We start from the raw sequence: 27632 nt of genomic DNA, 5'->3' as shown, positions 1-27632 counted from the left end.
CCCATTAATTCAGTCTCTCAAACTCAGCACTACTGACGTGCTGGGAAGGATCATTTCTTTCTGTCATGGAGACTGTTCTGTGCACCTCAGGACGTCTAGCAGCACTCCTGGTATCCACCCACTAGATGCAAGTGGCATCCACCCCACAGCGTGACAAGCAAGATCTCCAGATCTGCAAGTGTTCCCTGGAATGCCAGTTGTTCTCTGTTGTGAGCCACTGGTATATGGACTCTTAAACACCCATCCTTTGCTTGGAAACATATCTTTTTCTGCACCCTCTGCAAGTGGCCTTTCCCAGTCTTTGATTTTTCTGTGCCCCAAGTATTTGGCCTATGTCCAGACGAATTATTTTGCCTCAAGAAAGGAAAAGAGCAGAGTCTACTGTGTTTCCAGGGATCACTCATGATGTACATCAGGCCAAATTTTTTTTTTAAAAATTTATTGATATACTAAGAGATAACAAAAGGACAAAAATCTTCTGACGCCATTTGCTGTCCTTCCCCTGCAAAATAAATTAACATCAGTCTAAAAGAAGAAAAAACCCTGCAACCTATGCTAGTTTTCCAAAAATGCTAGAAAACCCACAGAATCATGAGATGCACTTGAGTAAAATCTGGTCATGTAGGCACTACCTGTTCCCAACTCACCATTCCCCTTCCCCACACCATCAGGGGCTTTTTGGGGGAAGCATTTCCTTAAACTGGTTGATCCTAATTAAATGTGGGCCCTAGGCTGCTGTCCTGTTTCAACAGAGATCCTTTCCTAGGGCAATAACATATCTACTTTTGTTCTCTTTTAAGAAAGCAAACAGCCATAGTTGAAAGCAATTAGAAGTGGCATACATGAATGATTTTTTTTTTAATTAAAAAACACAAATCAAGCCAGTGATTGGCTTTGGTTCAAAGCTTGATCCTCCCCTGAAGTCTCCCCTTAGTGAAAGCTCTCGGCCCAGAGCCCTCTCCAGCTAGGTCAGAATTTCGAGTGTAACCAAAACAAGGAACACTCTTTTTTGGTACAAAATATATACATATAAAAATATGCTAACATCTCTAAGGAAGACAGACTGGCCACTGCTTCCTATTCAATACAGGAGCAAACAAAACGCGGTTAACACACCATTTCACACACACACCATTGCCACAGTTCCTGCGGGACCTTCGGGAAAAAAGCAACAATGCATCGTCAGAAGTGCCAGATACCTAGCTACACAAACACAAACACACACACAAATAGCAGCAAATAAAAATAGAAAAAGTCTACTTTTATTTATTGGTAAACATAAGACAACCAAGTCTGAGCATCTGGTGCAGTTCCCAGTGACGGCACTTGCCCTGCACACGCTCTTGAAGCACCAGGAAAAACACACAACACAGTAAGAAGGCAAAGTGGCTGGGAGTAAGGTATCTGCAGATTCAAACTTTGGGATTGAAGTAGCTGGTAAACAGAAAGGCACCGAATCAGGGTCTGGAGAGACCCGGCTGCTGGGGAGGAATCTGGCCTGCCCAGGCAGACAGGGACAGACATCCTCATTTCTCCAACAGCTCCTGGAAGCCGAGTCACCCCAAGGGCTTGGAGAGCTGTTAGTCTGGCTTTGGAGCAGTGAAGGTAGCACAGTGCTCAGCAGGAAGGAGTCAAGACTTTGCTGTCGAGCACAGGGAGGCTGGTGCCTGAGGCTCAGCGTGCCAGGATCCACGCCTCCTCCCAGGCTGCGCAGTGAGCTGGAATCTCTCCCTCTCCTGTGGGAGCAGCTCTTCCCCTTACTGTCTGCTTCCAGCTCTGGCCTAGCTATCTGGGACTCTTAGCCCTTCAATTCGCCGAGGTGGGCACCATTCCTGCTGCAGCCAATATGGCCACTGTGGGCTGGCCCCCAGCTGGCATATGGATGGCCCTCAACGAAGCCATGGACATGGGTCCCTCCCCAAAGGCACACTGTTAAAAAGATCCATTTGGCTACACCAAGGCCACCTCTTCCTATTTGGCACGGTGAGGTACTGGGGGGTCTTGCAGTCTGGTACGCCTGCCCCCCGCAAACCAGAGCCCATTCTCAAAGTCCGGGCTGCTCCATGGAATCAGGAGTGCCTCCCTATAGTCAGGCACTGGAATGTAGCCCCATGCCTGCTGGCGGACTCCATCCAATCAGAGGAACAGAAAGCACCCACCCCACCCTCTTTTATTTTTGGCATCACAAAGACCTAGTGACCAGATTGCCTGCCGCTGCCACCTCTGGGCTGCCCTGCCTTGCTGCCCACGCTGCTCTCAGAACAGAAATCCTGATACTGGTCAGAAGCCATACAAGCTAGCTCCCAGACGTGACCACCTAGAGGCAGCTCACAGTCTTGAGTTAACAGGGGCCTCAGGGCCGAGGCTGACAGATCCAGCTTCCCGGGACCCTCTACCAGGCGGGCCCCCTAGACTTTGTCCAGCTTCCCCAATGGCACAGGTCTAGTTTTTCAGCTGGAAAGGAGCCAAGCAGGGAACCCCTAAAGGTGATGGGGATTGTCAGGGAAAATGATACTCCTCAAGGAATGCCTCATCCACTTGGGCAGGGCCCCACACAGGACGTAGGGAGTTGTTGGCTGGACCCACGGCCAACACTTGCAGCACAGGCAGAGCCGGCAGACGGGCCCATGGACACCCAAGTGCCAGCACTGCTGTCCTCCAGGTCTCCGGGGCAGTCTGTGGGCCATAATTAGAATGAAGCCAGTCCTTTACTAGCAGAAGGTAGGTCCTGGGAGTGAAGGGAGGGGCTTGCCTGCCAAGGGTCCTGCCCACTGGACTCCCCTGGACCTGAGCACCTCCACTTTGGGTTTTCCTTGGGACACACTGAACTCTGGGCTTTTTAGAAATGGAACATGCTTCAGTGGGCCTGGGGCAGGAGGTGGGTCTGGGTTTGGAAGGGGACTCAGGTCAGTTCTCACTGGGACACAGGCAGGAGGGAGGGTGGCAGCCATAGCCTGCCTCTCCTGCTCCGAGGCACGGAGGCTCTTCAGGTGGAACCCAGCTGTGGGACCACCCCCGCCCCACCCACGCTGGCTTGTGGGCTATGGATGCTGCCCTGAACTGGGGCTAGATGGCCATGAAGGCAGCCTTTTAGGGCTGCTGGGCTCGCTCTACTCCAGCTGCCTGCCACTGTCTTTTCACATTAAGGCCCCAGCCAGCCCCCACCTGTCAAGGGCAAGCTCCCCACTTCATCACTGCCGGCTCAGGCAATGCCAGCCAGGACCACCCCTGCCCACCCCATCTCCCAAAAGCTGTGGCCAGATGGAGGGAACACTAGTCCCACTGGCCATGCCTCCCCACAATACTCTCTGCCCACTCCAGGGCTGAAGGCAAGGTGGGCCAGAAGTCCCCTCCTGACACCTCAGCCCCTGCAAGACAGGGACCAAAGCTGTGATTCAGTCACGCAGGCCAGGGAGGAGCAGTTCAAACTCAGCAACAACGCAGCCATGAAGAAGCCCGCTCTGTTCAAGACAGTCACCTGGAGCCACAGGTGCCACCGGGTTTCCTGAGGCAAGAGGGGAGAGCAAAGAGGCCTGCAGAGGTAGGAACAAGGTGGAGACCAACAAGGCAGTGAGGCCCCCTGCCCTATGTCCTGGGACAGAGTGGGGTGCGGGAGAAGTCCCTTCCAAGCCTGCCCATCAAGGAGGCCACCCACTCCTCCTCCCCCGACCCAGACTCTTGAGGGGGCTTGGGCTGGGAGTCACTTAGCCAAGCGACACCATAGGCAGGGAAGGGGAGTAAGACCGCGCAGCTGGTGGCGCCGGGGCTTCAGTAATGCCTCAGGTTGAAGAAGCCCACGCTGGTGGGAGACTCCTTCACTGTGACGGTGATGAGGTTGGCAGTGACGTCGGTGACAAATACGTGCTCGATGAGGCTGCGGGTGGGCTTCCAGTCCTGGCTGGTCTGAACGGACACTGACGGGTTCTGTCCAGTGCTGGGCGGCGAGGCGGAGTCGGGGTCGGAGTCCGAGCTGCTACTCTCCTCACCTGCGCTCATCTCTGGCAGTGTGGCCGCCTTGCGGGCTTCTCCGGGGGCTGTGCGGCTCTCCTGCCCACTGGGGGTAGCACTGCCCTTGACACAGTCCCTCTTGCTGGCAGGGGTGGGTGGCGCCACTGCTCTGGAAGCCAGCTTCTCACTTTTGCTTGTGTCGGTGGGCATGGTGGCCCCGCTGGCCCCAATGAGGCCACTCCCAGTGCCCTTCCCAGGGGCTGGGTTGGTGGCCGGGACACCCTTGGTGGCGGTGGCGTGGCGGGCAAGGAGACCCACCCCGGGCATGCCATTCTTGACACTCTGCAAGTCCAAGACCTGGAGGCTCAGCTCCTGGGTGGGTGCTGGCTGGGGGCCTGGGCACCCAGCAGGCACCCTGCTGGCACCATGGGTGTGCGGGGGGCCCCCTGTGTTCCCCACTTTCTGCTCCACAGCCCCACCGCTGGGGGCCTTCGGGATTTTGCTTCCTGGAGGGCTCATTCCCAGCTCCCCTTTCTGCGTCCTCACCTTCAGGTCCAGCCCGAGGCCGCACTTGTTGGTGGCCTGGGCCTTCAGCGCCAACCTGCTGGCAGCCTGGGCCTGGCTCTGGGTCATCCGGTTCATGTAGTGCACGATGGAGCTCTGCCAGCTGATGCCACCCCGGCCGGGGCTACTGGCCATGCCCTTCATTAGGCTGGCCAGGTTCTCTGGGGTGGCCATGGCACTGGGGCCGCCACAGGCCTCCTTGGCGTGGGCCTTCAGAGCTGCCAGGCCTGCAACGGGGGCGCTGAGTGGAGGGGGCAGCTTGCTGGCCGGGGCCCCCAGATCCTTCCGGGCGGTCTTCAGCACCTTGGCCAGGCTCACGGGTCTTCGGGTTGCCTTTTGCTCTGGGGGCAGGGGCTTTCGTCCCCGCTTCTTCCGGATGGGATCCTTCAGCTCGGGTTTGGCCACCAGGATCTGGGCCTTCTTCTGCGGCACTGGGTGGGTCTCGCGGCCCCGGGGACCCCTCTTAGCATCTAAGTCACTGTCATCCTCTTCATCTGAGGAAGAGGAGGATGACGTGGAGGAAGAGGAGGAACTGCTGGACTTGGATTTGGAGGGAGCATCGGGTTCCTGGAAAGATAAAGGAGAAGTTGGCTGGGTGCAGTGGCTCACGCCTGTAATCCCAGCACTTTGGGAGGCCGAAGCGGGTGGATCACCTGAGGTCAGGAGTTCAAGACCAGCCTGGCCAACATAGTGGAGCCCTGTTTCTACTAAAAATACAAAAATTAGCCGGGTGTTGTGGCGCGCACCTGTAGTCCCAGCTACTGCAGAGGCTGAGGCAGGAGAATTGCTTCAAATCGGGAGGTGGAGGCTGCAGTGAGCCAAGATTGTGCCACTGAACTCCAGCCTGGGCGACAGAGCGAGACTACGTCTCAAAAAAAAAAAAAAAAAGATAAAGGAGAAGGTGTCACACCTCCACTGCCTGTTCCCAGGGTCCAGAGCGCCATGCTGTCCCCAAGGAACACTGGGCACCTTGCAGCCATCAACTCCTGTGGCTTCCAGACCAGAGAGGCAGTCAGGAAGGAGCAACTTCTCACCGTGCTCACAGTTCCATGAGAGGCAAAATTAAAGGTAGATAGAGAGAAAAATAGGTGGCTCGTAAAAATGAAGACAGAGTTAAGGACGGACAGAGTCCACACCATGACATCCCCGTCCACCATCAGCTTTCAAGGGGGATGCAGATTTAGCTCCGGGCTGTAGAGCAGACGTTCAAAGGGAACTGTATCCAGAGCATCACAGTTTTCAGGACTCAGGAGGTTACAAGTCGTATTAAGTAGCATGCACAGCTTTGCAGCCTACACCAAGTGGGCTTCAGTATCCCCATTTCCCAGTCTGAGCCTTCCAGGATACAGGTAAATAAACCACTGTCTTCCTCGCCTTCTGGATGTCACCGCCAATGTTAAATAAGAGTGTCCTTGTGTTTTACAGGCCGCCATGCTGCCTGCTGGGTCAGAATTCTACAGCGTGTGCTTTAGGAGTCAGATCCAACACCGCCTCCCTACCACCCCGTTCTCCCAACTTCAACAGGAGTGATCTCCTCAAACCTCCTCAAACAAGGCATCAATCACTGCCTTGTGGCCACTCCTCAGTCAGCAGAACTCCTGCAGCCCCCACAATCCTGCTCAAAAGGAAGATTTTCAAGATAACGTAAGGCCAGTGTAGACCAGCCAACAAGATTCTACAGCAGGGAATCCTGTTCATTCAGGAAATCCTCCTGGAAAGGCAGGTTCAGTTAGTGACTGAGCTCGTGGCCACAACACGCGAAGGTCCAGGGACAGTGCCCGGAGGAGGGAATCAAAGCCACACCCGGGACTGAGGCCAGGCCCTCCTCCCCCATCCTGTCCTGCCTCACCTGTCCTCAGGGGAGGGAGGGGCCCTACCACGGACCCCAGGGGCGCATGCATACCTGTGGCGGGGTGAGCCCATCACTGTAGCGAGGAGGGGTGACAGGACAGTCCCGAGAAGGCCAAAGCACATCATCAGCCCACACTGCCTCTGCCCTCCTCCAAGGCCCCTCCTGGCACCCCCTGGCTATTCAGTCAGCCCTGCCTTTCGTGGCCACCTCGATTTAAGGTGCACCCGCAGGTGGGCCCGGAGTAGCCCCCAAATCTTAGGCTTTTGAGTCACATCCAGCCGGCAATCCTATGAGCACCTACTGTACGCATGCTTCCTGTTCCTTTCCGTCCCCCAAGGACCCCCTGGGAGGGAAGAGTGCTTGTCTGCAGCAGTTTGACCCTGCCACCCAGCAGAGAGGCGTGCAGGACAGGCTGAAGCAGGAAGCCCCTGGGAGGGGCGGGGAGGAACTCTCAGCCGGCTGGGGCCCCTGGCAGCAGAAGCTGAGAGACAGGAAGAAAGGGGGCTCCTGTTTTCCGAGTAGAGGGACAGACTGTTGGCAGAAGTGCCACCCCCTTCCTGAGGGCCCCAAACCCTCCCTCTGCCTGCCCCCTACGCCAAGGGGGTGCTGGGAGGTGGGGTCAGCATACCCAGCGCAGCCACCCACCTTGAGCTTGGAGCGCCGGCTGCAGGAGGACATGGCAGTGAGCTTCCTTGGCCGGCCTCTCGGCCTCTTGCCTCTCTTCCGGTTCTGCACCTCCTTCTCATGTTCCCTGAAGGCACACCACTAGTTAATGGGGGAGAAGCCCTGTGCGTACCCCTTCTACCATGTGGGACTCTATGGCTTCCAGCACCCTATTCCTGTTGGCCTGTAATAGCTTATCCTGTTTGCCGCAAACACATCATCAAATACCCAAGGCAGAGATCAGACCCCATTCTTTGCACTAGGGTCAGTAACCAGCCATCCCATTTCATTTGGCTAAGGACAAGCTGAAGACAGGAAAGCAACGCTGGGAAAACAATGACGCCCCAGTATTCTCTGACTTAAGACAGCTTCCTGCAGGTGCACTGCTGCATGGAAATTCTAGCATATTCTAACCAGAAGTGGCCTCGGTGGCCACACGGTCCAACCTCCTTACTTTCAATAGGAGAAGGAAGCCCAGGACAAGGAGATGCCACCAATCCCCTGGGCAGCTTCTGGTGCATAAAACCCTCACCCGGGCAAGGAGCACCGTGGGCCCTGTCCTCCAGCCCTCGCAGAGCCTGGCTGCTGGCACATGACTCTCCTTGTTTCCTTTTTAAAAATACCTCTCTGTTCCTAAACTCTACTCTTGAGGGAGATGACAGAGGTGCCGAGGTCTGAGGCAGGCAAGGCTCAATGCACGCACCACTCGCAGTACCCCCCCCGCCCCCAGAAGAGCCTCCACACCTCCAGGGTCATGAAGTGCTAGCAGAACCTCCAGCCCCCAGGGAAAGCCTGTATTTCAGAAAAGGGGCCCTGGTAATTATCTGGGCAAACATCATCTCATTGGGGCCTGGAAGGCAACCTCCTCAACACAGTTCTGATTAGTACCAGGCAAAGTTCATACTCTTAAGTGCTGGTCCTTAACCTGAAATCTCCTAAAAGGACAATGAAGTGTTGCATGGATCTCCTCCGCTGAAATATTAACCTGTGCACTGACTGCTGTGATCCTGTGCGTCGCCAAGGGCCATACCCCCACCCCCTCCAATACCAAGCAGGTAACCGCCAGCTCCTAGTGCCCAGAGAGAGCTAACATTTTGGTGGATGGAGAAGGCTGTCCCACCTTCTCTGTTTTCTTTCTTCCACGATGTCATCCAAGCCACCCATGGGTTTTACACTCTTCTTATCTCAGGTGTTTCTGCTCTAACCAAAACCACAATCTCTCTCAACAGTTAGGACACCGTCTTAGATCCAGAGAAGCGCACCAGCCTCTGAAGTGGGCCAAGCCATTCCCCCACCCCAAGGCTCACAGCACCCAGACAGGAACTAACAGAAGACGATGGGTTGCTGTTACGATTTTCCAAAGGGATTTAAGCAAGCACAGGCTCTTCTTTTTGCTCGCCCCACCAGAAAACTCTATTTCCCCATTATCATGACCCCTCTGGGAAGACCCAATATGTCCCGCTACAGTGGAAAAAAGGGAATGCACCTTTTGCTACCAGAGAACAAACCGTCCAGATTGACCCTGGCTGGGAAAGACTCCAGCAACCAATTCTTCTGCCTCTATCCACAGGGCAAGTCCAGCCAGGGGATCCAGGGGGAGCCGTCAGTGAAACCACCCCCCATCTTGCCATTGCTTGAACAGTACTCCCTGGCCCTTCATGCCAGGTGGGCACATCCACTGCCCTCTCCTCACCACCCCTTGCCCTTGAACATCTCAAGGAGGCCTATCTCTTAACCTAAACTTCCTACCTAAAAATAGAAATGACATCTAGAATTACAGAAACAAGTCTGGCCCAATCCGGCCTCATGGTGCTACTTGGTACTGTATGCTGCAGGCCAGAGCAAAATAAATGTTTCTTTCTTGAGAGAGACATCACAATAGGCACAACTGCGTGCTGTGTGTTCCAGCTCCCTCTCTGAGCCTTCTTGCCTGATGGCACACGCGTGCAGGGCTGGAAGGGCAGACCTGCGTCACTGTGGCAAACCTGCTCTCCTGGTTTTCTGTTAGCGCCATGTGCAAATTACTCAGCAGAAAAGGCCAAGAGAAGCTATAACATCTTTATCTGAAGCAACTGAAAAAGTTGGTTTTTGCAAGTATGGCTGTCGGAAACACCAAAGCAGCACTTACTTAGGTTCTTCTCAGGGATGGATACAGGCTGGCTAGGAGAAGGTGGGAGAGGGGCTGGCTGGGGACTTTTACAGCCAGCCACAGAGATGGCCCTGGACACAATCTTGCTAAGGGACCTCAGACCACAGCCCCAGCTCCAGCCTCCCGGCAGGCGAGCAGCGCCCAGCACGACTCCAACCAGCCACCGTCCCTCCCCCACACCCTCCCCAGTGCTGTCAGCGTCCTCACTTCTTCTGGAAGGCCAGGAGCAGCCTCGGGTCCAGGATGTTCTCCTCCGGCTCCCAGCTGTTATGTCTGCAAAGCAGAGGACAGGGCAGCATTAGACGCCAGGCTGATGATCACCGCTTTGCAAGGCAGCCCGAGGGGGCTCGCCCTCACCGCTCCTCGACTTGGGCCGATGGCAGTGGCACCGTAGCACCATGGCACTTCTCAAAGTCCAAACCCAGGTTTTGGAGGCTGGCCACCCCCCACCAAGCCAGCACTCTAACCTCAGACCCAAAGGGAAACTGCCGCTCCAACCCCCCAATTAAAACAAGGCCACAAGAGGACTCCCACAGTCTCTGCCTGGGAGAAAAACAAACCCCCATAAAACGCAAAGTTGCAGAGAGGGATTCCCCCAAACCCTGGCCCGGAGCCAGAGGAGGAAGGGAAGGCAGGTCCAGCATGCAGGGAGGGGCACAGGCGCCCAGCCCGAGATCCAGAACAATGTGGCGCGCGGGCCGGGGCACCTCGAGGGGTAGCGAAGAAAGAGCGGGGTCCGGGAAGACGCAGAAACGGGGCCGCGGGAGCAGCTGTGCAGAGAGCCCCTTCCGGGGATGCCAAACACCCTCCCTTCCATTAAAAGAAAGAAAAAAAAAAAGAAACTCTACATCCATCAATAGCAAGCTCAGGTTACAGCGGGGAGAATCTGGCCAAGAGGAGGGGGGCTTGCATCCCGCGCCTCCCTCCCGGCCGGGACGGGGGTTGGGGGGAGCGCGGCGCGGCAGCCGAGGAGGTTCTGGCGCGGGGGGCCGCCCAGCTCTGCACCCGCGGGCGTGTAAACAAAGGGCAACCTCGGGCCGGGCGGCCCCCGCCCCCCTCAGAGCCGGAGGAGCCCGCGGGGACCCCGCGAACTTCCCGCTCTGCCCGCGGGCGCCCCCAGGCCACCGGACGGCGCGGCCGAGGGGCTCCACGTCCCCACCCCCGGGCGAGGGGGCGGGAGGGGGGCGCGGCGTCGCGGGGGACTCACTTGGAGGACCAGCCGCGCCACTTGACCAGGTACTCCAGCTTGCCCTGCGGGGAGAGAAGAGGGGCCGTGAGCCAGACGGACAGCGGGCGGCGGGCGGGGGGCCCGGCGGGCCGCACGCACCTTGCGGAGCCGCTTGCTCAGGATGCACTCGGCGGCGAAGACCTGCTCGCCCACGCTGCTCAGCTCCTCCATGCTGCCCGGCAGCCAGCCCGACCGCGGCGCCCGCCGCCAGTCACCCGCCCGGACCGCCGCGCGCCCCGCCGGCAGCACACAAAGCACCGCCCCCGCCCGGCGCCGGCCCGCCCCGCGCACGCGCACCGCCGCTCCGCGCCCGCGCCCCGGCCCGCCGCCCGCCCCCGCGCGCTGCCCAAATCCCGTGCGGGCCAATCAGCGAGGGGGGGCGGGTGCGGGGCGGGGCGGGGCGCGCATTGTCCGCGGCGGGCTGGGCCTCGCGCTCCGGCGGGGGGTCCCGCGCGGGGCCCCGGGCGGGGGCGGGGGCGGGGGTGGGGGCGCGGGCGGGCCCCTGGCTGGGGGAGGAGGTGCCTAGGGACTTCGGGCCTGGGGCGCCCACCGAGTCCCGCGTGATTCCCGGGGCGCGCCCGCCCTTGCTCCCAACTCCGTTTTCCGGGCAAAAAGCCATTGTTCTGGCCCGAAGGGAGGGAAGCGGGACGGGGCGCGGCGGCTGCTTCCTGCCCCCGCCTTCGAGGGGCGCTGCTCCGGGGCACGCGGGGCCCCACCCTTCCCCCGGCTTCTTGAACTGGCTTTTCCTCGGCAGCGGGGGAGTCGCTCTGTTTTGGACGAGAGCAAAACGGGTCGGGGGCTGGGGAAGGAAAGGAAGACGAAGTCCGGGGGAGGGGCCCACAAACCCCAGCAGCCGAGGCTTTTTCCCCCAAAGGCGAGAGAGGAAAATGCTTTAACTTAAACCACCAAGCACTCTGAGAAAGAAGTAATACGAACTGCCCGGAGTTCTTATTAAACAGCTATGAAAAGTGGATCCAGCCCCCGAGTTTTAGGGCACGTGTAGGGAGAAAACCAGCTGCACCTTTTCTGAATTTGTTCCCCGATTTTGATGAAATGGAGGGGGAGGGGGCGGTTTGCAAGGCTGTTCCTAACTTCGGACTAGGTCAGTAGTGGCCCGCCAGGGCTGGGCAGCCGGCGTCCTTCGGATCAATTGTCCGCGGCAGAAAAGGGTCAGGCCATGTTATGAAAGTGGGGGTGACCCCTTGTCCTCCCTGTGATCGTCGTCAGCAGGCTACCCTTTTATTCCGGTGTTAAGATTCGAATTCCATGAAGAATCACCCTTTAAGTTATTTAGATTTTGAATCAGGACAAGTCAAACACGTAATGAAAGAGACCTGAGCCTTAGCTTCATTCGTCTCAACGCAGTCTAACTCCATGAAAATTCACTCTCTGCTTTTCTTGCTTCCTTGAACACAGCTGCAAAATTCTCTTTCTGTTGAGCAGATCCAAAAGTCGTTTCTTGTTGTAGGAGACTGTCTCAATGTAATTGTGATCATCAAAACCATATTTATAAAGGGTTCTGCAGGAGAAATGTGTTTTTTTGTTTTTACAGAAAGGCCTACTGGAGAAAATACTGAACTGTAGGAACCGATCTTTCAATTTATGGCGTGTTCTTCAGTTTCTTTGGTTAGATAGGTTACATTCATTTGATTTCCTGGAGAGTACGTGCAAATTCAGATGTTGTTTGCAAAGAGGGCAGGAGAAAGGGAAATGTCCTTGGGGGGAAGGTGTTTGTTTACTCAGGGGCAGAGGCAGTAAAGAATCCTTGTGTTGGGATAAAACTGGCCTCTGGAGTGAAGGGATCCGCTAACAGTGTCTCCGCCGGCTCCTTTTGTATCCCTGTCTTGTGCAGCTTGGCAGTAAATTGTGGAGTTGAGGGCAAAGGTGTATTTATTGTAATCCTACAAATAGCTGGATCAGTTTCACATCACGTTTCCTTGCAGAATTCATCTTGGGTCTAAGATTTTGCCCTGGAAGTTTCCAGTTTCCTCTTTGACTCATGGTATGCTGGGATACTTGCTTGATTTCTTTTTAAAGAAAAGAAGGCTTTGAAAAGGGAATGATTTCTTTGCTTAAGAAATAAATTTGCTAGAATTTGATACTAACACATTGAAAAAAATAAATCAGCGTCCAGGAAGGTTTAACATGTACATCATCTACCCAACTGCAAACAGTTTGGGTAAAATAATATTTAGATAATTCATTTGGAGAAACAAATATGACAGATTTGGCCAGAATGAAATAATCAGATACATTCTGTGAACGTGTGATCCAAAATCTGTGGCACGTTCCCTAAAAACAAAGCTGGGAATAGGCAGAAGGGAAGAATAACCCCCAGCTAATCCAACTGTGTAAAACAAGCGGACGTCTTCCGTTTTGACTGTCACATTTTAAGAATTATTAAGACAAGTTAAAACTAATTATTGTATTATTCATTCGACAGATAGTTAGTATGTACTATCATGTGGGCACTACTAGATATCCAGTAGTATAAGACCGTAGCAGCAGCTCCATCTGTGGGTGATGGAAGTGGATGGACAGAGCCTCCCTCCACTGCGTCCAGTGTGGTGGCCGTTAGGCACCTGGGACTGCTGAGCACTGGCAGTGTGGCTAGTGCCACTGAAGGCTCGAATTTTAAATTGTATTTCACTTTAATTCATTTCAGTGGGAGTAGCCACATGTAGCTGGTGGTCACTGTACTGGACACTTTGCAGGTCCACAGGAATGAGAGGGATCTGCTTTAAACATATTTTAAATGAAAGTAATACGGTTACATAAATTAATCCTGGAATATGAATAGTTTACCTACACTCACAGTTATGCTTAATTATATACAAGAATGTTTAAAACACATACAAAAAAGATATTAAAAATCCAGGCACAGAGGAAGACATTCAGGGAGTACAGACTTTGTATAGTACTGATTTCCTTTCTACGCAAGTGATAAGGACAAGTATTAACTTATTCGTGTCTGAAATGCTACTAAGAAAGCATAAGTATTTTCACGCTATGCTTGTGGATCGAAAATTACAGATGCCAAAGCAAAGAATGTCTCACTCTGAAGTCAATGGAAAAGTCAGGAATTGAGATCAATCCAGTGACCCTGGATTTGGCAGCTGTAACTAGGTAACAGTAGTTACTTCTTAACCAAATACTTTCAAACAGCTCTTAGATTTTCTAAAAGCACTGTCTCCCTACTGCCATCAGCGGTGTTGGCTAAAAGGAGGAACCAGACACCACCACCAGCCGGTCTGCATGGGATACACTCAGGATTTAGAATACATCACACATTTACATCACATTTAATATCTCATGTCGTAATTTGCCCCCAGCTCCTCTGCACATTTGCAAGACTAAGGTGTGACTTACAGGCTAGCTGTGTTAATGTCACGCCGTTTCTGTGTATGTAATATGTGAATATTACATATGCGGGACAGACCGTGTTTGTGTATCAGAACTCAAGTAAAAATAAGCACAGTTCAGGCACTTGCAGGATCCCTCAAGCTTTCAGTTTGCCTAAGGACCCCTGGGCACACGATGCACATGTCCGCCCCTGGATTCTGACCCAGGACAAGCCAGAGGCAGCCCAGGGCTCTCAGCGTTTAGAACACTTCTTACAAAGGGCAGCCTGCCCAATCCCTCGCTGTGCACATGAGGCAGGAGAATACAAACTGTATCAGGTACAGGACCGTGGAGCCTGGGCCTGCTGTTTCCCATGTTGGCCTGGGAGGGGCAAATGGGCAGGCTGTTCTGGAAGTGGTGGAGAGCCTGCTCTCAGGAGGCCTTCCAAGGTCAAAGGCTGGAGCAACCCCGTATGTTTCTCGGACTCCACTCACCCTCACCCACCAGGCCACCTAGCTCATTGCAGCACACCTAAAGACAGGCTCAGGCTGGAGGCACCCCCCTTCCCCGCCCCGATCCTGGAGGCAGGGGGTGGTTAAGGAACACAGTTATAGGAGGTGGGAAATGGACAATGAGCTCATTTATGATGACAGTCCCCTTGCAGGAGGTCTCCATTACATGAAGCTTTTATTTTAAAGAGTGTCATTTATTAATTTTGCAATCAGATCGGTCCCTGATTCCAGTTTCTTACTATTAAAACAGTGCAGCAATGACCATCTTTGTCTTCCCATGTGCAAAGTACCAGCGTATCTACAGAATAGCATGCACAGAGCTGTCTTAAAAGGGTATGTCTTCTCTATGGGAGAAAGGAACAAAAGAAGATACATGGCTCTACCTTTCTGAGTTAGCTATTGTCAAACTGCCCTCCGAGGGTCTGCACCAATTCACAGTCACAGCCCGGGTAGATGGGGTTGCCTCTGTCCCCACTTCTCAGTAACTCTAGTAAGTGCAAGTGATCCAGTGATGTCTGAGCAACCTGATGCTCAGCTGGTCCGGCAGTTCCGCGCGCATGCCACCTCGGCTTTTTCCAGGACCTTTCCCGGGTGCAGAATTTTTACAGTGCAAAACGGTTTTATGAGCGTAATTTTCCAGTGTGAAATGCAGTATTTTCACAATTTAAAAAATAACAGGCCAGGTGCAGTGACTTACGCCTGTCATCCCAGCACTTTGGGAGGCCGAGGCAGGTGGATCACAAGGTTGGGAGTTCAAGACCAGCCTGGCTAAGATGGTGAAACCCGATCTCTACTAAAAATACAAAAATTAGCCGGGAGTGGTGGCGCGTGCCTGTAATCCCAGCTACTCGGGAGGCTGAAGCAGAGAATTGCTTGAACCCAGGAGGCGGAGGTTGCAGTGAGACGAGATGGCACCACTGCACTCCAGTCTGGGCGACAGAGCGAGACTCCATCTCAAAAAGCAAAACAAAGCAAAACAAAACAAAAAAAACCAAACCAAACAAACAAAACCATACACTTTCAAAGGTCTAAAATCTAGGAGTGAAACCCTTACTTACAAACAAATAGTTCAGGGATTCTAAGTGATGAGAACAAGCGCACAGTTCCTGAGTGTGTTAACCGTTGTTCCTCTCTCCTGCTGGTGGCCTCAGCATCCTCTATAAATCCTTTGGGAACAACCCGTGGGTTTAAAGATTGGAGAACTGCATTGCAAGATCCCCTCTAAATCGAATGCTTGTTCTATTTCACTCCCTTCCTCAGATGAGTTACTTCTTGTTTGAAAGAACCCAAACACAGAAATGTTGTTTGATGTACACACAAAAGAGAGAGAGATCCTGTTGCTTTTTGGTGGGAAAGTGTAAAGATCTGTCCAAGAAATTCCTATTAAAAAAAAAAAAGACCCTTTCTCTCACTGTTGTTGGCAAAACTCTCAGTAATAGAAGAACTGCAATTGGAGTCAGGGAAGTTTAGAAGAAGGGACTGGGAAATCCTGTTTTATAGGTGAGAAGAGGGCAGCCCAGAGCGTGTCCAGGTTCCCCAGGTGAGTGAGGGTCTGAGGCTGGGCTCCCACCGGGGCAGGGCGGCACCTCACCAGTCAGGCTGTGCCTCCTCCACCACCATCCACCTTGGTGGCTGTCAACTCAGCCAGGAGAGTGGGGTACGCCCAGGTGATGAAATAAAAACGTTCAGGAGGGCTGGGTGCAGTGGCTCACGCCTGTAATCCCGGCACTTTGGGAGGCCGAGGCAGGTGGATCATGAGGTCGGGAGTTCAAGACCAGCCTGGCCAGGATGGTGAAACCCCATCTCTACTAAAAAATACAAAAACTAGCTGGTGTGGTGGCGGGTGCCTGTTATCCCAGATACTCAGGAGGCTGAGGCAGAGAATTGTTTGAACCGGGAGGCGGAGGTTGCAGTGAGCCGAGATCATGTCACTGCACCCCAGCCTGGGCGACAGAGCGAGACTCTGTCTCAGAAAAAAATAAATAAACAACAACAATAAAAAAGGTTCAGGAGGATATATACTGAAAAGCCTTCCTCCTTCCCTGTCCCCAGCAACCTAGTTCCCCACTCTGCAGGCAGCAAACGCTGTCTCCTCCAGAGGTGTGCCTGTCCTAGCAAGGGGCCTCAGAACATTTCTCATAGCTGCCCTCCTGCTCGTTTCTTTCTATCACAGGCACGGTGGCACGCCACCACAGGCTGCACTGTGCCGGGCCTTTTTTTTTTTTTTGAGCAGGGTTTTCACTCTTGTCGCCCAGGCTGGAGTGCAATGGCGCGATCTCGGCTAATTGCAACCTCCGCCTTCTGGGTTCAAGCGATTCTCCTGCTTCAACCTCCCGAATAGCTCAGATTACAGGCATGCACCGCCACACCCGGCTAATTTTGTATTTTTAGTAGAGACAGGGTTTCTCCATGTTGCTCAGCCTGGCCTCGAACTCCCGACCTCAGGTGATCCACCTGTCTCCGCCTCCCAAAGTGCTGGGATTATAGGTGTGAGCCACCACACCCAGCCATGCCAGGCCTTTTTTCTTAGCAGTATGGCCAGAAGGTCACTCTCCATCCAATGGAGAGCCTTGCTTTCTTTGCTGAACCTCTCCGCGGTATTCTGGGGTGGGATGCTGCATAGTTTATTGTTTATTTACCAGACCATGGCTGATAGATGGTGAGTTGTTTCCAGTGTTTAGCTTCTGCTGCCGTGAGTAGCATTTATTAAAAAAAAAAAGTTTCTCTATAGAAATGCTGTATTGCCCAGGCTGGAGTGCCGTGGCACGATCTTTGCTCACTGCAACCTCCACCTCCCAGGTTCCAGTGATTCTTCTGCCTCAGCCTCCCGAATATCTGGGATTACAGGCACGCGCCACCATGCCTGGCTAATTTTTATATTTTTTAGTACAGACGGGGTCTTGCCATGTTGGCCAGGCTGGTCCCGAACTCCTGAGCTCAGATGATCCACCCGCCTTGGCCTCTCAAAGTGCTGGGATTACAGGCGTGAGTCACTGCACCCAGCCATGATGCTAATTTTTTTTTTTTTTTGGAGACAGGATCTTGCTCTGTTGCCCAGGTTGGAGTGCAGTAGTGTGATCATAGCTCACCACAGCCTTGACCTCCTGGACTCATGTGATCCTCTTGCCTCAGTCTCCAAGGTAGCTGGGGTTACAAGAGGTGTGCCACGAGACCTGGCTACTATTTTTATTTTTATAGAAATTGGGGGTCTTACTGTGTTGCCCAGGCTGGTCTTGAACTCCCGGGCTCAAGAGATCCTCCTGCCTTCACCTCCCAGAGGGCTGGGGTTGCAGGTGTGAGCCACTGTGCACCGAAATGATGTTAATTTAACTCACAAGGCACAGAAGCGTTTTTGGCAGCCTCAGCTCCTATGGCCTGGCGTGTCCTCGCTGGACTCTGTGTATTTGGAAAGAATGGGCTCCTGATGCTGGCAGGGATGGCTACTGTCTTTTGAGGCACGTTTATAGGATATTCCTCCTTGAAGCTGAAACCTTGTACTTTCCATGTCCCTGCTGCATCAGCAGGAAAGGCTGCCACTGACCTCACATTCATATTTCTTTTTTTTTTATTATTATTATTATACTTTAAGTTTTAGGGTACATGTGCACAATGTGCAGGTTAGTTACATATGTATACATGTGCCATGCTGGTGTGCTGCACCCATTAACTCGTCATTTAGCATTAGGTATATCTCCTAAAGCTATCCCTCCCCATATTTCTTTTTCTTTTCTTTTTTTTTTTTTTTTTTTGAGATGGAGTCTAGCTCGGTCGCCCAGGCTGGAGTGCAGTGGTGCTAGCTCAGCTCACTGCAACCTCTGCCTCCTGGGTTCAAGTGATTCTCCTGCCTCAGCCTCCCGAGTAGCTGGGATTACAAGCGTACACCACCACGCCCAGCTAATTTTTATATTTTTAGTAATGGAGTTTCACCACGTTGGCCAGGCTGCTCTCAAACTCCTGACCTCAAGTGATCCTCCCACCTCGGCCTCCCAAAGTGCTGGGACTACAGGCATGAGCCACTGTGCCCGGCCTCACATTCATATTTCTTTGGGTTCAGTACAAGTTGCATCCTGCGGTCACTGCCTTTAGAGGCCCCTGTCCTGTGTGAATGCTGCTTATGGGGACATGTGCCCCCCAGGATGGCGAATCTCAGCCCTCTGAAGCAGGGGAAGTAAGACAAAGTAGTGAGATTGCATCCAGAGAGGAACGGGCGAGGGGAATTCAGGATTGAGGCGTGGTCATGAGTCCTTCTCACACTGCTCCTGGCAGCGCTATGAGAGGTGGTGGCACAGGACATTTGTAGGATGCCCTGGAGGAGAAGGGCGGGCAGGAACTGGGCCAGCAACGATGACAAAGCACAGTCTCCAGCCACAGGAAAGCAAAGGGAATGACAAAAGTACTAGCAGAACCCCCAGCCCAACCTAGACCACGGGGTGCTCCAGAGAAACAGCCAATAGATAGAAATATCAGCATTCAAAGAGATTTACTGAAGGCACTGGCTGATGTGATGGTGGGGTCTGGTGAGGCGAGTCCCAAACTGCAGAGCAAGCCTTCCTCAGAGGCAGCCGGGGCGACTCAGACAGGAGCTGGCGCTGCGGTCCACAGGCGGAGTTGCTTCTTTTCAATGAATTGATCAGACCCACCCAGATTATTCGGGGTAAGCTCCTTCACCTCAAGTCACAGCAGCGACTGGATTTGCGTTTGCCTGAGTACCTGGGGGCTGTGGCCTAGCCGGGGAGAACACCTTAGCCTGACGGATCATCCTTGGGCTCAGCTCCTCAGTGCTCCTGCTGGTCATGCCGGCGTCACTCACATGGCTTCGGCTTGGCTGGGGCTGGATGGCCTGGGATGGCCTTTCTTGCGTGGCTGGTGCTTGGTGCTGGTTGTTGGCGGGGCTGTCTGTCTGCAGCAGGCCAGCGTGGATCCTTTCTTCGGTGGTTCCAATGGAAGCTGGGGTCCCATGTTTGCTGACGTCCCAGGGGCCACAGCAAGTTGCATGGAAGCCATGTGAGGTAAACTCCAACCTCTTGACCAGAGGAGTAGCAAATGAGTGACCATACAGGATCTGGAAGAATTTGTGGCCACTTTGGGGGTCATTTGTACCCTCTCCAGAGGGCAAGATCAGAAAACAGTTTAGCAGCCACTGAGCCTAGCACTGCTTGGATTGTGTTAAATGAGTGGAAGATTCTTAATTTCCTAGACTTGCAGGATGGGGCACTGGCTATTCCCGTCGTGTATTTCCTCCGGCTGCCACAACAAAGTTCCATGCCCTGGGAGCCCTTCTAGGGGCTCCCAGAAGTTAATTTTCTCACAGTTCTGGAGGCTGGAAGTTTTAGATCAAGATGTGGGCAGGGTTGGTTTCTTCTCTCCTTGGCTGTAGACGGTGTCTTCTCCCTGCGTCCTCATAGGGTTGTCCCTCTGTGCACATCTGTGTCCTCATCTTATCTCTTCTTTTTTTTTTTTTTTTTTTTGAGATGGAGTCTCGCTTTGTCACCCAGGCTGGAGTGCAGTGGTGCGATCTCCGCTCACTGCAAGCTTTGCCTGCCGGGTTCACACCATTCTCCTGCCTCAGCCTCCCAAGTAGCTGGGGCTAGAGGCGCCCGCCACCATGCCCGGCTAATTTTTTTTGTATGTTTTTAGTAGAGATGGGGTTTCACTGTGTTAGCTAGGATGGTCTCGATCTCCTGATCTTATGATCCACCTGCCTCGGCCTCCCAAAGTGCTGGGATTACAGGCGTGAGCCATCACGCCCGGCCATCCTCTTCTTTTTTTTAAGACAGAGTCTTGCTTGGTTGCCCGGGCTGGAGTGCAGTGGTGCGATCTTGGCTCACTGCAAACTCCACCTCCCGGGTTCAAGTGATTCTCCTGCCTCAGCCTCCCGAGCAGCTGGGATTACAGGCATGCGCCACTACACCCGTAAAGACAGGGTTTAACCATATTGGCCAGGATGGTCTCGATCTCCTGACCTCAGGTGATCCACCCGCTTTGGCCTCCCAAAGTGCTGGGATTACAAGTGCGAGCCACCACGTCCGGCCCTCATCTCCACTTCTCATAAGGAAACCCGTCCTGTTGGGTTAGGGCCACCACAATGGCCTTATTTTAATTTAATTACCTTGTTAAAGTTCCTCTCTCCAAATGCAGTCACTTTCTGAGCTGCTGGGAGTTAGGGCCTCAACATATGGATTTGCGGGGGACACAGTCTGTCCCATAGCACTTGATCCGTCCCCACCTCCTCCCTGCTTTGTGCTGCGCTACATGGCTTACATTTGTTGGTGCCCACTGTGTGCCAGGCCCTGTGCTGAGTCCGTGTGTATGACTCCATGGAACCATTTTTCCTTCCCTGTAGCCACAAGAGATCCTTAAATCACCTCTGAGGACCATCATCAGGCAAACCAGCCCTTAGAATATTGATATGGCGTGGCCAAATCTCATCTTGAATTGTAGCTCCCATAATCTCCACGTGCCGTGGGAGGGACCCGGTGGGAGGTAATTGAATCATGGGGGTGGGGTTTTCCCATTCTGTTCTTGTGATCATGAATAAATCTCACGGGATTTGACGTTTTTATAAAGGGGAGTTCCCCTACACACACGCTCTGCCTGCTGCCATGTAAGACGTGACTTTGCTCCTCCTTCACCTTCCACCGTGATTGTGAGGCCTCCCCAGCTAGGTGGAACTGTGAGTTCATTAAACCTCTCTCCTTTATAAATTACCCTGTCTCAGGTATCTCTTCATAGCAGTATGAAAATGGACTAATATGGCTGGGCGCGGTGGCTCATGCCTGTAATCCCAGCACTTTGGGAGGCTGAGGCGGGCGGATCACGAGGTCAGGAGATCAAGACCATCCTGGCTAACACGGTGAAACTCTGTCTCTACTAAAAATACAAAAAATTAGCCAGGTGTGGTGGCGGGCACCTGTAGTCCCAGCTACTCGGGAGGCTGAGGCAGGAGAATGGCGTGAACCTGGGAGGCGGAGCTTGCAGTGAGCTGAGATCGCGCCACTGCACTCCAGCCTGGGTGACAGAGCGAGATTCTGTCTCAAAAAAAAAAAAAAAAGATATCAGTTCCCCCTAAATTGATCTAAAGATTGAACACAATCCTAATCAAAATCTCAGCATCTAAAAGGCAAGAAAGTAATGGATAAGTGAATTATAAAATATACAGGGAAATGCAAAGAACCTGGAATTACCCAAACAATCTCGAAAAAGAACTGGGTTGGAGGACTCACATGACCTTATTTCAAGACTTAACTATAAAATTACATAGTCAGTGCACTGTGACTTGGTGTAGAATAGACAAATACTATTCATGGAACAGCAAAGAAAGTCCAGAAATGGGCCCACAGGCATACATGGTTATTTTATTTCTGACAAAAGAAAATCATCGGGGACAGAAGACTTTTCAACACATGATGTTGGACAGCTGTGTCATCCATACACATAAAAATAAAAGACCCATGGCCCCAATTCACATGACACCTGGAAATTAATGTGAGTTGGCTCAGACCTAAACACAAAAGTGAAGATAATAAAGTTTCTAGAAGTAAATACGGGTTGAAATGGGAGAATTGCTTGAAGCCAGGGGTTTGAAACCAGCCTAGACAATAAAAAGTTTTTTTTAAAAAGCTAGCTGGTTGTGGGTCAGGCATGGTGGCTCACACCTGTAATCCCAGCACTTTGGGAGGCTGAGGCAGGCAGATCACTTGAGGTCAGGAGTTCTAGACCAGCCTGGCCAACATGGTGAAACCCCGTCTCTACCAAAAATATAAAAGATTAGCTGGATATAGTGGTGCGTGCCTGTAATCTCAGCTACTCGGGAGGCTGAGGCAGGAGAATCACTTGAACCCCGGAGGTGAAAATTGCAGTGAGCTGAGATCATGCCACTGCACTCCAGCCTGGGTGACAGAGTGAGACTCCGTCTCAAAACAAAAACAAAAGTTAGCTGGCTGGGGTGGTGCAACCAGCTGTAGTAGTACCTGCTACTTGGTAGGCTAAGGCAGGAAGATGCTTGAGCCCAGGAGTCTAGGAGTTTGAGGCTGCAGTGAGCCACGATTGCACTACTTACTGCATTCCAGCCTGGACGACTGAGCAAGACCCTGTCCCTAAAATATAAAAATAAAATAAAATAAAATAAATGGCCAGGTACTGTGGCTGATGCCTGTAATCCCAGCACTTTGTGGGGATGAGGTAGGCAGATCACTTGAGGCCAGGAGTTTGAGACCAGCCTGGCCAACATGGTGAAAGGCCATCTCTACTAAAAATACAAAAATTAGCAGGGCGTGGTGGTGCATGCCTGTAATCCCAGCTACTTGAGGGGCTGAGGCTCAAGAATTGCTCAGACCCGGGAGGCAGAGGTTGCAGTGAGCCGAGAATGTGCTGCTGCACTCCAGCCTGGGCGACAGAGCAAGGCTGTCTCAAAAAAAAAAAAAAAATTAAATTAAAAAATAAAAAAGCAGTAAATACAAAAGAATACCTGCAACTTTTAGGCTGGCAAAGGTCTGTTGGTTTCTAAAAAGCAAGAGTTATTTTCAAAAAATGGACAAATTAGACTTTGTCAGATTTTAAAACTTGCACTCATCAAATGATACCGTTACAAGAACATGAGCCAGGAAGCCTCAGACTGGGAGAAAATACTTGTAATACAAAGAACTTGTATGTAGAATATACAAAGGACTCTTACAAATTAAAAAAAAAAAAAACGACACAGAATTCCATGTTTTTTCTTTTTCTTTTTTTTTTTTAAGTGGGCAAAAGACTTCAGGTAGTTCACCAAAGATAATATCTTTTTTTATTTTTAATTTATTTTTTACTTTTTGAGACAGAGTTTCGCTCTGTTGCCCAGGCTAGAGTGCAATGGTGTGATCTCAGCTCATTGCAACCTCTGCCTTGTGAGTTCAAGTGATTCTCCTGCCTCAGCCTACCCAGTAGTTGGGATTACAGGCGCCTGCCTCCATGCCCAGCTAATTTTTGGGTTTGTTTTTTTTTTCTTCTGAGACAGAATCTCGCTCTGTCGCCCAGGCTGGAGTGCAGTGGTGTGATCTCGGCTCACTGCAACCTCCGCCTCCCGGATTCATGCCATTCTTCTGCCTCAGCCTCTCCAGTAGCTTGGGACTACAGGCACCCGCCACCACACCCAGCTAATTTTTTGTATTTTTAGTAGAGACTGGGTTTCACTGTGTTAGCCAGGATGGTCTCCATCTCCTGACCTTGTGATCCGCTCACCTTGGCCTCCCAAAGTGCGCTGGGATTACAGGCGTGAGCTACTGAGCCTGGCCCTCCCTGTCTCTTAATAACAGCAACAAAAAAAGTAAAAAGTAAAACATTCCATAGATAATACACGAAAATTTAGATAGAATAAAGATCACCCAGAAAAAAGGCGATATTAATATCTTATATAATTGTTCTTTTTGCATTTTTACATAGGCGATATATGTATACAATCTTTATAATTTCTTCCATCGGCATCAGCACACTAGGAGCATGTCCTCATATAAGTATACTTCCTTGTAAACATAATTTTTCCTGCTTGTGCAATTGTCATTGGATACTCGTCATGACTGAGCATTTATGTGCCAAGGACTGGGACAGCCACTTTACAAAGATGATATCATTTACTCTTTGCCTTCCATTGGTAAGCAGGTAAAATTATTAAATAATAATTTTAGAAATGAAGTCCTTTTGTTTTTGAGACAGAGTGTGGCTGTCACCCAGGCTGGAGTGCAGTGGCACAATCTTGGCTCACTGCAACCTCTCTCCCTCAAGGCTTAAGCAAGGCAGTCCTCCCACCTCAGCCTTCCTAGTAGCTGGGACTACAGGCGTGTGCCACCATGCCCAGCTAATTTTTTGTATATATATATATATATTTTTTTTTTATAGAGACAGGGTTTCTCCATGTTTCCCAGCTGGTCTCAAACTCCTGGGCTCAACCAATCCTCCCGTGTTGGCCTCCCAAAGTGTTGGGATTCTGGACAGGAGCCCCTGCGCCTGGCCTAGCAATGAAGTCTTAAGGAGATTAAATCACCTGCTGTATTAGTTTCCTGTTGCTGCTGGAACAAATGACCATAAAGTTAGTGACTTAAAACAATCCAAGGCTGGATGCGGTGGCTCACGCCTGTAATCCCAGTACTTTAGGAGGCCGAGGCAGGTGGATCACGAGATCAGGAGTTTGAGACCAGCCTGACCAACATGGTGAAACCCTGTCTCCACTAAAAATACAAAAATTAGCCAGGTGTGGTGGTGCGCACCTGTAGTCCCAGCTGCTCAGGAAGCTGAGGCAGGAGAATCGCTTGAATCGGGAGGCAGAGGTTGCAGTGAGCCGAGATTGTGCCACTGTACTCTAGCCTGGGTGACAGAGCAAGACTCAGTCTCAAAAAAAAAAAAAAAAAAAAAAAAAAAAGAAAGCAAGACAAATGTATTTTCTCACACTTTTAGAGGTCAGAAGTCTGACCCAGGTCTCATGAGGATGAAGCCGAGGTGCTGACCGAGTTGGTTCTCTCTGGAGGCTCCAAGGGACATCTGTTTCCCTGCCTTTCCCAGTTCTTTAAGGAGGTCCACATTGCTTCGCTCGTGGCGGCCCCTTCTTTCACCTTCAGAGCCAGCAATCATGTTCCGTTGATCTCTGCTCTGACCCTGAAGCTCCTGCCTCCCTCGCATAAGGCCCCCGTGGTTCCATGGGGCCCAGTGTTGTAGGTGCCACCTTGCTTTCCCCAGAGGCCGGCTACTGCCATCACCAGCAGCAGTGGGTGTCGGTGGCACAGTATTCATTGGGGAATTCTACTGCACATTTTTGTCTTAGAGAAGGAATAAGAAAAAAGTGATTCCAGCCCACAGTGAGACTGAGTGCTGGGGGTCGGCGCTCAGGCTCAGGGTTGAGGGGGAGCTGTACTGCCCCCCGGTGCAATCTGGCCCATAGATATCCTTGGCTCCGCTTGCACTGTCTGTTTGGAATATAATCCACGAACATAAAGCTCACCATTTTACAGTGTAAAATTCAATGATTTTTAGTATCTTCATAAGCTTGTGCAACCATTGTCACAATCCATTTTAGAACATTTCCACCATCCCCAAAAGAAACTCCCATACTTTCTCTCCCTTCCCCCTGTTCCTCGCAACCCTCAATCTGCTTTCTGTCTCGGCAGATTCGCCTGTTCTGGACATTTCATATAAACGGAATCTCATGTGGCCTTTTTAAAATTTTTTATTTTTATTTTGTGTAGAGATGAGATCTCCCTATGTAGGCCAGGCTGGTCTCAAATTGCTGAGCTCAAGAGATCTTCCCACCTTGGCCTCCCAAAGTGCTGGGATTCCCGGCCCTGAGCCACTGTGGCCAGCCAGTATGTGGCCTGTGGTGACTGGCCTTTTGCACTGAGCACGATGTTTTCCGTGTGCACATAGGCAGTGGCCTGCATCGGTACTTCAGCTTTTTTATGGCTGAATACAAAATCCACCTGCCTCGGCCTCCCAAAGTGCTGGGATTATAGGCGTGAGCCACCACGCCTGTATTGCATGTGGACACGTTGCGTGTATCCATTCATCTTCCAGTGGACAACTGATGTTGTTTCCACTTTTGAGCTCAGTTCTTATGAATAATGCTGCTAGGAGCACTTGTGTGCGAGTTTTTGTTGGTGTATACCCAGGAGTGGGATTGCTGGTGCCTATGGGAATTCTATGCTTTTTAGGAACTCCCAAACCATCTCCACCGTTTTCTCTTCTCACCAGCACTGCACGAGGGGCCCAATTGCTCCACATCCTCGACAACATTTGCGATTTTCTGCTTTTTTGATTCTAGCCACCCTAGTCGGTGTGAAGCAGCATCTCATGGTGGTTTTGATTTGCATTTCCCTAATCGGCACGTGTGCTTTCTTATTGGAACTGAAATGTAAGAAACGGGATGTTTTACCTAAAAGTTCAGATTTCTGTTATCTCTTGAAAAATGTGAATAAGACTGATCTCCCCGCATGGGCACTGGCCTGCTTCCTCGTTTTCCTACTTCTGTCTGTCATTCTGAATGTTGGGGCCCACCTGACCCTGGCCTCCCAGCGGATGCCCCACGTGGAGTGCAATGGGGTTGGCCAGGCACTGCCTGCTGTTGCCAACTCGGTCCCTTTGGGAGCCGTGCACTGCCATCTGTGCCACCGGTTTCTCTCTTATGGGTCCCTGGAGGGTGGGGACGTGAGTCCAAGAGGAGGTGCGAGTCTTGTCTGCGAAAACCTGCCCAGAGCCAGGGCTTTTCTGCTGGGCATCCTCGGAGCCTCTGGGGAGAGGCCAGGCCAGCGGCTGGCAGCAAGCAATGGAAATGGGGTGAACAAGTGCTTGGGGGTGGGGACGAGGCCAGAGCTTCCAGAGGCTGGCACTCTGGATTTAGATTCAGAATTTGCCGTTGAGTTGGGAGGGGTTGGAGTAGAAGATTCCACGTGGGAAAACTATCAGGACAAAGAGAACTCCAGAGGGAGTGGAGCCTGGCAGGGACCGGTGCTTGGTTGGCAGCTGTGTGACAACGTTATTACATTGCTATATATCAAAGGACTTGTTGCCTTGTAGACATACATTAAGTTGTTTTTTTTTTTTTTTTTTGAGATGGAGTCTTGCTCTGTCACCCAGGATGGAGTGCAGTGGCACGATCTCGGCTCACTGCAACCTCCGCCTCCCAGGTTCAAGCAATTCTCCTGCCTCAGCCTCCCGAGTAGCTGGGATTACAGGCGTGTGCCACCACGCCTGGTTAATTTTTGTATTTTTAGTAGAGACGGGGTTTCACCGTGTTGCCCAGGCTGGTCTTGAATTCCTGAGCTCAGGCAATCCCACTCACCTTGGCCTCCCATAGTGCTAGGATTACAGGTGTGAGCCACTGTGCCCAGTCAATATTTTTTTTTAAGAGATGGAGTCTTGCTCTGTCACCCAGGTTGCAGTGCAGTGGCGATCATAGTTCCCTGCAACCTCAAAGTCCTGGGCTCAAGTGATCTTCCTGCCTCAGTTTCCCTAGTAGCTGGGACTACAGGCTTTTTGTTTGTTTTTGTTTTGTTTTGTTTTTGAGACAGGGTCTCGCTCTGTCACTCAGGCTGCAGTGCAGTGGCGCAATCTCAGTGCACTGCAACCTCCGCCTACAGGTTCAAGTGATTGATTCTCCTGCCTCAGCCTCCTGAGTAGGGATTACAGACACATACCACCACGCTTGGCTAACTTTTGTATTTATTTTTTTAGTAGAGACAGAGTTTCACCATGTTGGCCAGGCTGGTCTCGAATTCCTGACCTCAAGTGATCTGCCCGCCTTGGCCTCCCAAAGTGCTGGGATTATAGGCGTGAGCCACCGTGCCTGGCCTACAGGCTAATTATTATTATTATTATTATTATTAATTATTATTTTGGTAGACACAGGGTGTCACT

General features: G+C 51.9%; 1 protein-coding gene across 5 annotated transcripts, besides 4 other annotated features; it reads right to left on the bottom strand.

The window, feature by feature from the left end:
- Positions 828 to 11500, bottom strand: CBX2 (chromobox 2). 5 transcript variants are annotated; one of them, XM_011525383.3, is made up of 6 exons: positions 11426 to 11500; positions 10384 to 10427; positions 9384 to 9449; positions 7010 to 7115; positions 3779 to 5079; positions 1241 to 3533 (listed from the first exon to the last, which is right to left on the bottom strand). In XM_011525383.3, exons 4-6 carry the CDS (start codon positions 7040 to 7042, stop codon positions 3362 to 3364), a joined length of 1506 nt encoding a protein of 501 aa, XP_011523685.1. In that variant the 5' UTR covers positions 7043 to 7115; positions 9384 to 9449; positions 10384 to 10427; positions 11426 to 11500; the 3' UTR covers positions 1241 to 3361. The 5 variants fall into 5 exon arrangements, with proteins under 5 accessions (NP_005180.1, XP_011523685.1, XP_011523684.1 ...); XM_011525382.2 differs by lacking the exon at positions 11426 to 11500 and adding an exon at positions 10504 to 10663; NM_005189.3 differs by lacking the exon at positions 11426 to 11500 and adding an exon at positions 10504 to 10663 and having other exon boundaries at positions 828 to 5079.
- Positions 9410 to 10003: an enhancer, noted in NCBI's record as "H3K4me1 hESC enhancer chr17:77752607-77753200 (GRCh37/hg19 assembly coordinates)". NCBI's record gives its function as "activates a minimal SCP1, AML or CMV promoter by ChIP-STARR-seq in naive H9 embryonic stem cells {active_cell/tissue: H9 hESC(naive)}" and the evidence as "EXISTENCE:reporter gene assay evidence [ECO:0000049][PMID:30033119]".
- Positions 10399 to 10468: a silencer, noted in NCBI's record as "silent region_9083". NCBI's record gives its function as "represses an Ori minimal core promoter by ATAC-STARR-seq in GM12878 lymphoblastoid cells {active_cell/tissue: GM12878}" and the evidence as "EXISTENCE:reporter gene assay evidence [ECO:0000049][PMID:35858748]".
- Positions 10479 to 10858: a silencer, noted in NCBI's record as "silent region_9082". NCBI's record gives its function as "represses an Ori minimal core promoter by ATAC-STARR-seq in GM12878 lymphoblastoid cells {active_cell/tissue: GM12878}" and the evidence as "EXISTENCE:reporter gene assay evidence [ECO:0000049][PMID:35858748]".
- Positions 25995 to 26495: an enhancer, noted in NCBI's record as "H3K4me1 hESC enhancer chr17:77736115-77736615 (GRCh37/hg19 assembly coordinates)". NCBI's record gives its function as "activates a minimal SCP1, AML or CMV promoter by ChIP-STARR-seq in primed H9 embryonic stem cells {active_cell/tissue: H9 hESC(primed)}" and the evidence as "EXISTENCE:reporter gene assay evidence [ECO:0000049][PMID:30033119]".

The sequence above is a fragment of the Homo sapiens genome, chromosome 17 (genome assembly GCF_000001405.40).
Source record: "Homo sapiens chromosome 17, GRCh38.p14 Primary Assembly".
Classification (NCBI taxonomy): Eukaryota; Metazoa; Chordata; class Mammalia; order Primates; family Hominidae; genus Homo; species Homo sapiens.
This window is presented reverse-complemented; position numbering and strand designations above follow the sequence as displayed.